The 9,750-nt window shown below is 41.3% G+C and overlaps 1 pseudogene; it reads right to left on the reverse strand.

Moving 5' to 3' along the window:
• GAPDHP27 (glyceraldehyde 3 phosphate dehydrogenase pseudogene 27) lies at positions 4,717-6,010 on the reverse strand (annotated as a pseudogene).

Genomic DNA, 9,750 nt, shown 5'->3' on the forward strand with positions numbered 1-9,750 from the left:
CTGAGGGGTGAACTTCCCAGAGTCTCTGCTCTTAATGAGTCACAGTCTTGGGGCCTGGGGAAGGCCAGCCATACACAGATGGTATCAGAACACCCAGGCAGAACCACTCCCTACCTCAGCCCTTGATGCTTTCAGAAAAGCATCTCAGTGGAGTGTCTTCAGTGAATAAAAAGACTGCATGGAACTGCTTCCAGTGAATCCCTAGTCTCCATGAACAGGAGTCTGTCAGTTGCTTTACTTGTGTTGAACATCCTTCAAATATGTTCGTGAGAATGCCAGCTTGAACACCGCACATACACTGATACCATTTTCAAACTTCTTAAACAGAGGGAAACGTGGTATATGGAACAACTTGCCACCCACCTCACTGGCTTCCAAAGCTGAACATTCCTGGCTGCTAGAATAAGGCAGGGCACTGGCTGAATGCAGAGAGCACTGAGAAAAGTGGCCTGGATCTCACAGGAGCAGCTGGAAATTGAAACCCATTGGAATGTGCTTTGCATTAGCAGAAATGACCTTAAAACCACAGTCTGGCAGCAGAAAACTGCTATCTACAGGGTACTTGCAGCTGTGATAGGGAGACAGAGGAGCAAACACTAGGCAATTCATGCTGGAGACTGGCCAAGTGTGCTCCTCCCCTCCCACCAGGGGCAGAGAGGATGGAAATTATGTGATTGCCAAGGGCAGCTGAGAAAACAAGTCATGCCTGGGGTTTTGCTTTGTTAAGTGAGCTGAGTTGGGGGAATAAAGATCTGAGAGAAGCAGAAGAAGGCTGACTGTGAGTGGTGAAGACAGTGAAGGCCAGCAGCAGCCTTCCACACCTATTCCATTGTCATCTGATGGACAGCCAAGACAGGCACTTTTCCTGGCTCTTACTTATGATATTGTCTTCCCTATTTGGAGTAGTTGTGTGAAAGGTGGCCTGCCAGGAGCAGACAAAGCCTGATGCACCTTGCACTGCCCTTTGCCTCCATAATTCTGGGGGAGGAGAGGATTTGAGCCTTATGTATTATACTTACTGTAATCCCCAAGAAAGAAAGGGGGTCCCTAATTGGTCCTAAAGAGTTCTCACCCTCTTTGCCCATTAAAATCACCCAGGGAGTTTCTACAAAATTACAGGTACTTAGGCTTCACTTCAACTAATTGCTCTCCACATTTAAAAGACAAACAGAAAAGTTCTCCAAGGTTAAGAAAATCTGTCGCTTAAACTAATCAAACCTCAAGAATTCCACGGTGACCAGGTATAGTTTCTTTAATTGGAATCTGGGCAGAGGCTCACACACATCAAAGTTAGAGATAGCTGGGCACAAAATCTCATGTCTATAATCCCAGCACTCTGGGAGGCCAAGGCAGGAGGATCACTTGAGTCTAAGATTTCAAGACCACCCTGGGCAACATAGGGAGACCCCATCTCTACAGAATTAAAAATTAATTAAAAGCCTAGCCAGCCATGGTGGTGCATACCTGTTGTCCTAGACACTCCTGAGACTGGGGTAGGAGAATCTCTTGGTCTGGGAAGTTGAGGATCGCGCCACTGCACACCAGTGCTCTGGGTGACAGAGCAAGACCCTGTCACTAAAAAACAAAAAACGAAAGAAGGTTAGAGAAAAAAAATCTCTCTCTAAATGAACACCCTCAGCACTGGCTTTTCCCATAATCTCTCTTGCTGCTTGCCACATTCTGTTCTCCATACAACAGCCTGAGAGATGTTTTAAGTAAACTCAAATCCTATGTCTCACCTATATAAAACCTTTCTGGGGCTTCCCATTCCATTTACTATAGACTCTAAACTGATCTCCAGCTCTCCTGGGCACCGCATGATCTCATCCTTCCAACTTCTGTCTTCATCACTCTCTCTTTTACTCATGGTGTCCCAGCCAGATTGGCCTTCCTTCAATTCTGTAAACACGCAATACTTTCTTGCCTCTGGATCTTCACATTTATCATTCCCTTTACATAAAATGATGTTCCCCATGTTCTCATGGTTGGCTTTCTGTTGACATGTAGATCTCAGCTGAACTGTCACCGCCCCAGTGAGGTGAGACGTCCCTGACCATCCTCTGCCGAATAGGCTCTGCTTCACTCATCACATCACACTGTTTCTCTCCTCCTAGCTGTTAAAACTATCATAGAAAATAAAGTCCGTTTTAAAAACTAAATGAGATAATATATGTAAGGCACCTGATACATAGTAAAGGGCTCGATTAATATGTTAGAGCTCATATGTAGAGCTTTCTATGTGCAAGGAGATGTCCCATATGACCTCTTGGTCTAATCTCAACTGATTATTCCTTAAAATAAATATCTGGCTGAACTTGCTGGGTCAAGGGTGTGAAAGTTTAAAATATCTTGTCACATACTCACCAGATGTTTGTGTTAACTTACACTTCCACGAATAACATGCCTGTCTCTCCACATCTTCACCAACACTTAGTAACTTCAGTGAATCTAATATTTGCTAAACCACTCGTAGTTTTCAAACTGAGTTTAATGAAGGGATAATGTTCTTTGTAATGCAAGAGAAATTCCCAAGAAAAGAAAGCAGCTTGTTAAAAGTATGTCAGTTTACCTTTTTCTTCTTAAACGTTGGAGTACGAAGAGTTCTTGATTGGCACAAAATTCCAATTTCATCAGAAAACTCAACTGGGGAAATATCTACTTTCAAGCTCACTTACATAGGTGTTGGAAAACTTACTTCCTCGAAGATTATTGGACTGAGAGCCTCAGTTCCCATTTGACTGTTGGCTGACCTCAGTTCATTACTATATTGTCCTCTTCAGCATGGCAGCTTGCTTCATCCAGCCCAATGAGAAAGAGGAAGTGTAAAAGAAGATGGAAGTCATGATCTTTTCTAACCTAATCATGGAAGCAACATTCCATCATTTTTGTCCGATTATACTGATTAAAAGCAAGTTACTAGGTTCAGCCCACACACAAGGGAATGAATACCAGGAAGCAGAGATCACTGGACTCAACTTAGAGGCTGGCTACCATACCATCATTGTCAGACTCCGGAGGAAATGGTTGAGTGACATCTATCTGACCCCCCTCAAAAAATAATTGACAAACAGAGGATTCAGTAAGAAATTAAAAAGAGATTTTGCTAAAGCCTTCTCCTTTCTCACTTTGAAGGTCTTGCTTGGAAATACAGCCAAGCTGAGCTCATATAACCCAAAAGCTCTGGCCCTAGTTCTCCCTACATGGTGGAGGGGATGGCCCACTGTTCCTTACTTCTGAAAACTGGCTCTTCAAGTACACTTCAAACACCTGGGATCCTACTCATATCCGTGCTATAGATGAGAAGAAATTTGCTTCTCCTTGGCAAACAGCTTTGGCCTGAGCAATGATTCCAGCCTCTCATTAGTATGGGAAACGTTCTAGTATTTTCATTTTTGTGGTCACTGTTCTCTTCTATCTCCTTCTTTGTATTAGTCCACAAGCACTAACTTTCAAAAGCACTAAGACATTCTAGAGTCCTTGATTGTTCACTCATCCTTCCATTCCTTTATTCAATAAACATGCGTTAAGTTCCTATTATGTCATATGTGCAAATTCTTACGGTAATAAAAAGACGTATGAGACATAAACACTTTATTTAGTCAAACACTCAACAATGTTTGAACATTTGCTCTGTACAAGGTGCTAAGGATCAATAAAGGAGTAGTCCAGTTTAAGACAACACAACAAAAACAAACTCTTCACTCCATTGGCTGTAACACCTTTTTACTGAGATCTTCATGGTTCAACTTCTTGAACAGGTGTTGTTTTTAATAGTCACTCTCTTCACATTTTTCTTCTGTTCCTCAACACGCAGATGAATTGTGTGTTGGACTTTCCAGTTGAACTTTCAACCCAACTATTTGTGGAAATTGCTCTTACAAATTACTTACAATTTTGCCAAAACCAGTAATCAATTATTTTACTATTGCATTTGATGTGTCAGCAGCATCCGACATAGTGGACCAAACTCTTCTTAAAACACTTTCTTCACTTGACTTTTACAAGGCCATCTCCTTGTAATTTTTCTCCTTCCTGCCACCAACTCCTACTCAGCATATTTAGCTGGCCCCTCCTTCTCTGTTCAACTTCCAAATGTTGATATGTGTATTCCAGGGTTCAGTCCAGAAACTTTCCCTATTATCCATGAATATTCTTACCCTAGCTTATTTAAACTACTCCTGTGCCTTTAAAACTTATTCTATGCTACTCATGTCCAAATTGACCTCTCTAGGACTCAAGCACAAGGGATGTAAGTATCCTAAAGTAACCCAGGAGTTTAATAAGCTGGCCAAGGAGAGGAATTTTCCTTTTCCCAGCATGGGGGGCTGTGCCTAGTACAGCTCCTTGTAGAATGGGTGGCTTTCTCCTCTAAGAAAAATGAAGCCCTTTGCCTGAGCCCCAAGGACTTCAGGTGCTGGGTAGTTGATTTTTCCAGATGATCTTGTGAACAGCTGGCACCTAAATCTAGACTGTTTCACACCAAAAGACTGTGTGCTCCTCCACTGATAAAGCTGTGTCCTTGTGCTTAAAATAATAAAAAATTATAACAAGGGAGACTAATGCTCCCACACTGGAATGCAGACTCCCATTGTGAGCCCAGCATTTCCTGACCATTTATGCATCAGTATTAAATAGGAGGATGGAGAAATCATGCTGTCTATTCTTTTTCTGATCAGTAATCTTTGTGAGCTTTCCTAATACAGCATTTTTTTTTTCTGAGCACAGACAAGGGACTTTATTGACGGTACATGACAAGATGGAGTTCCCTAGGCCCCTCCCTCTTCAGGGGGTCTGCATGGAAACTGTGAGAAGGGGAGATTCTCAGTGTGGTGGGGGACTGAGTGTGGCAGGGACTCCCCAGCAGCTGAGGGCCTCTCTTTTCCTCTCATGCTCTCGCTGGGGCTGGTGGTCTAGAGGTCTTACTCCTTGGAGGCCATGTGAGCCATGAGGTTCCCCACCCTGTTGCTGTAGCCAAATTCATTTTCATATCAGAAAATGAGCTTAACAAATGGTCATTGAGGGCAATGCCAGTTCCAGGATCCAAGGTAGAAGAGTGGGTGTCAGTGGTTAAGCTGGAGACAACCTGGTTCTCAGTGTAGCAAAGGATGCCCTTATGGGGACCCTCTGATGCCTGCTTCACCACCTTCTTGATGTTATCATATTTGGCAGGTTTTTCCAGATGGTAGGTCAGGTCCATGACCAACATGATGGTGGTAGGTACATGGAATGCCATGCCACTGAGTTTCCTGTGCAGCTTATTGATATACTCGCTTACAGCCTTGACAGTTCCAGGAGATGCAAAGATGATGTTCCTTTGAGCCCTGCAGTTTTCTTGCCACATTTTCACAGAGGGGTCATCCACAGTCTTCAGGGTGGCAATGATAGCATTGACTGTGGTCATGAGTCCTTCCACCATATCAGAGTTGTCATGGATGATCTTGGTCACAGTTGCTAAGCATTTGGTGGGAAGCATGTTTTAACATCATCAAGAAGCATTGCTGATGATCATGAGGCTGTTGTCATATTTCTCATGGTTCACACCCATCACGAACATGGGGGTATGAGCAGAAAAGCCAGAGATAATGACCCTTTTAGCTCTCCACTATAGGTGAGCCACAGCCTTCTCCATGGTACTCCATGCCACTGTACTCCATGATGTACTTAGTGCCAGCCTTGCCCTAATTGATTTTGGTGGGATCTAGCTTTTGGAGGATGGTGGTGGGATTTCTATTTATGAAAAGCTTCCTGTTCTCAGCCTTGATGGTGCCATGGAATTTGTCATAGGTGGAATCATACTGGAACATGTAGACCATGTAGTTGAGCTCAATGAAGGGGTCATTGATGGTGACAATATCCACTTTACCAGAGTTATAAGTACCCCTGGTGACCAGGTACCCAATAGGGACAAATCCATTGACTCTGGCCTTCACCCTTACCATGGTGTCTCAGGGATGTGGCTAGTGCTGCACAAGAAGATGCGGCTGTCTGTCGAATGGGAGAAGCAGAAAGCTACAGCATATTATTTAACCCATAGTTATCATATTGAGAAATTCTTCACACACTCTGATGTCAATAGGTGGTGACTCGGGTGAGCATCACTTGACATAGCAGGCTGACATTCCCTGAGCATGTGGACAATTCAGTTGTCTCAGTGTCACCTGTTTAAAAGACAATCTTTTTCCCTATTGAATTTGCTATTGTCAAAATCAATTGGCCATATGAATTTAGGCCATTAACCCACACATAGGCAAAACTTCCCTCAAAATAAAATAAAGGCCTAAATTTAAGGGCTAAACTATACACCTCTTAGAAGAAAACATAGATTATTATATTCATGATCTTGAATTAGGCAAAAACCCAACTTTTCCTGGTTAAAAAATAGTTGAAAAATGAAACAGGATCAAAACTAAAAATGTTGGCGTTTAAAAGCCACCAATAAGAAAATGAAGAGATAAACCAGAGACTGAGAAAAAAAATTCAAATCATATATTTAATACAGGACTCATATCCAGAATATGAAATACACTTACAACTACGCAACAAAAAGATAAATAACCCAATTTTAAAATAGGCAAAATATTTGAATAACCATTTCATCAAAAAGGTGTAGGAATAGACAATAAAATACATGAAAAGATGGTCAGCATCATCAGTCAGCAGGGACATGCAAATCAAAACTACAGTGAGACACCACTTCTTACCCACTAGAATGCTATAATAAAAAAGGACAGCAACACCTGGGGGAAGTGAAATAATGACGTGGAAAAACTAAAATACTCACGCATTGTTGATGGGACATGTAGTCACGTTGGAAACCAGTTTGGCAGTATCTTAAAATGTTGAGATATATTTACCATATGACCTAGCACTATCACTTCTAGCTGTCTACCCAGAAGAAAAAAACCTATGTCCACACAACACATGAATGTGAATATTCATAGCAACTTTATCCATAATTGTCCATAAAGTGGAAACACTCAAATATGTATCAACTGATAAATGAATAAACTAATGGGAGCTATCCATCCAATTTAATAGGATTTGTCACCTAACAGGATTAAAATATTGATATGTGCTGCCACATACATGAACCATAAAAGTATATTAAAGTAAATGAAAGAAGACAGATACAAAAGACCACATATTGCATGATTTCATTTATATGGTCTCCAGAAAAGGCAAATCTGTAGAGTCAGAAAGTCAATTAGAGGTTGCCTGGAGCTGGGGACTGGGAAAAAGTGGTGGTGACTGATGAACATGGGGGATTTCTTAGGAATGATAGAAATGTTGCAAAACAGGATCATGGTGACGGTCACACAAGTCTAAAATTTTACTGAAAATAATTTAACTGCACACCTAAAACAAGCGAATGTTATGTCAATTATACCTCAGTAAAGCTGTTTAAAAACAAAAGAAATTTAGTAGTGTGGCCCCCATCAGTCTTGCCCTTTGTTTAATTTCTCACTTTCTTTAGGGCTTTTATTTATCGGTTCCACTCAGAGACTCCAAGAGACACTGGCTGAAATCTATCAGCCTCCAGAACTCTCAACAGCATAGGGAATGTCTGGCCCCATCTGAAAGGTGATGGGATCTGTAAGGTGCACTCTAGCATGTGCTATAGCAGGCAAAGGTGTGTGATGCACCTGGGTGGTTCAGATAGTGCTCCACATGTCTCAGCAAGACCCAGGGCCTGTAGCTATCAGAGAACAAGCTGCTACATCTTGCAGCACAGGGCCAACCTTTTCTAGGCAAGTGGGTTTGAAGCATTGGTAGTCAGGTCCCAAGTAGCAGTTGAATGTTTTCAACATGGGAGGAGGGCAAGACCTAGAGTGGGGTTTCAAAGCAAATCATTTGTAGAATATTACTTCCAACAACTGCAGAAAGCATTCGTTTCAAGTGTTTATGGGATGTTCACCAACACAGACCATATGCTGCACCATAAAACAAGTCTCAATATATACACAAGGATCAAAATCATACAGAGTATATGCTATGGCCACAGTAGTATTTAATTAGAAATTCAAAACAATAAGATATCTAGAAGATTCCCAATTTCAGAAAACAAGCTACATACTCTGTTGGTATCGGTCACTTGGGTCAAAGACGAACTCACAAGAAAAAATTCAAAACATCATTAACTGAGTGATGATAACCCGATGCATCAAAATGTTGGCTGCAGCTGACACAGTGCTTAGAGAGAAACTTACAACTTTAAATGCCTGTAGTGGAAATGAGCAAAGGACTAAAGTCAATTATATATGCTTTTATAATAAGAACCCTGAAAAAAAGGAGTAAAACAACCCCCAAGTTAATAAACATAAGCTGATAATAAAAACAAAGAAAATCATGAAATAGAAAAATGAACAAACAATAGAGACAATCAATGGTCAATCCTTCTGTACTCCATGCACAAAAATTCATTTCAGAATGATTTTATATTTAAATATATATCCAGAACCACAGAGATCTTAGAAGAATAAATAAGAAAATATAGGGATAAAATAAGAATTCTGTGGGAATAAAAATCAGAAAGTAGTTGCCTACCAGGTAGATTGGGAGTAGGGCAGGGAATTAGCCAATAACAGGCAGAAAAGAACTGTCTGCAGTGACGAAAATGACCTATACATTTTTGGGTTGCTACTTACATGGACATATATAACTGTCAATGTTCATTGAACTGAACACTTGAGATCTGGGCATGTTAATGAATATAAATTACACCTCTTTTTTTAGATAGAGGAAAGTGTCTTGGAGAGCTTATGGTGGTGAAATTTGGGCAGTTCTCTGGCATAGGCTCAAGGAGCATTCACAACATCTTCAGTTCAGAAATTTGCTGAGAATGGTTTTGTACCCAAAAATATGGGAAAAGTTCAAACATCTATGATAAGAGTCATTGGGGCATACAACCACAAATCCCCACTCTTGTGGTACAGTGTTACAGGCCAAAAAGAATGAGGGTCGTGACCAACTCAGTATACCACTGGAGGCTATTTGAGCAAACAGAAAACTGTTCTCATGAAAGCAGGACGTTTTAAAACTGACAAACTATGTCTGCTGCCAGAAGGGGTGCTGAAGGCCGTCACACCCCCAGTGCAGTGTTCCTTGTGATTATCTATAGGAACCTCTGAAGCTGTTGTATAAAGAAAGCAATTATGTGTACCTGTGATAAATCAAGCAGCTGACCAACCATTATCTCTCCCTACCTGCTCTTTCTACCTCATAAATACAAAGGGCTTTAGAAGCTCAGAGCTGCCTTTGCTCACTAGAAGCAAGGAGCCCCCTGACCTCTTGTTTTAAAACATATCCTTTTGTCTTTGTCTTCCTTTCTACATTTGACCCCCTTCGTTCATGCCGTAGTAACTGACAGCAACAGTACAGGCCATATAATTAAGTGGCTATCACTAGACAGCCTTCCTTCAATGATGTTCTTCATCTAGGAACCCAGAGCTCTCCAGGGTAAAATGGCAACTGAGGTTTTGGATATATTGAGTGGGAAAGAAAGTCAACTCCATAAAACAGTAATTGGAGCTGTCACCATTACAAATTTCTAAACTTTGCAAGACTGCAGCAGCATTTCAAATGACACTCTGAGAGAGGAGAGAATGGGCTCATGTGGATTTCCCTCCAAACATATTTACTGCACAAAGGCAAAGTTCACATTACACTTGGAGATTTCTCTCAGTCTAGTTTAAGATCACAGATTGCAGATCCCAGACAACTGGAATCAACCAACTAGTGTCCTGTTAAGGC

Source organism: Homo sapiens, chromosome 1, assembly GCF_000001405.40.
Source record: "Homo sapiens chromosome 1, GRCh38.p14 Primary Assembly".
Taxonomy (NCBI): domain Eukaryota; kingdom Metazoa; phylum Chordata; class Mammalia; order Primates; family Hominidae; genus Homo; species Homo sapiens.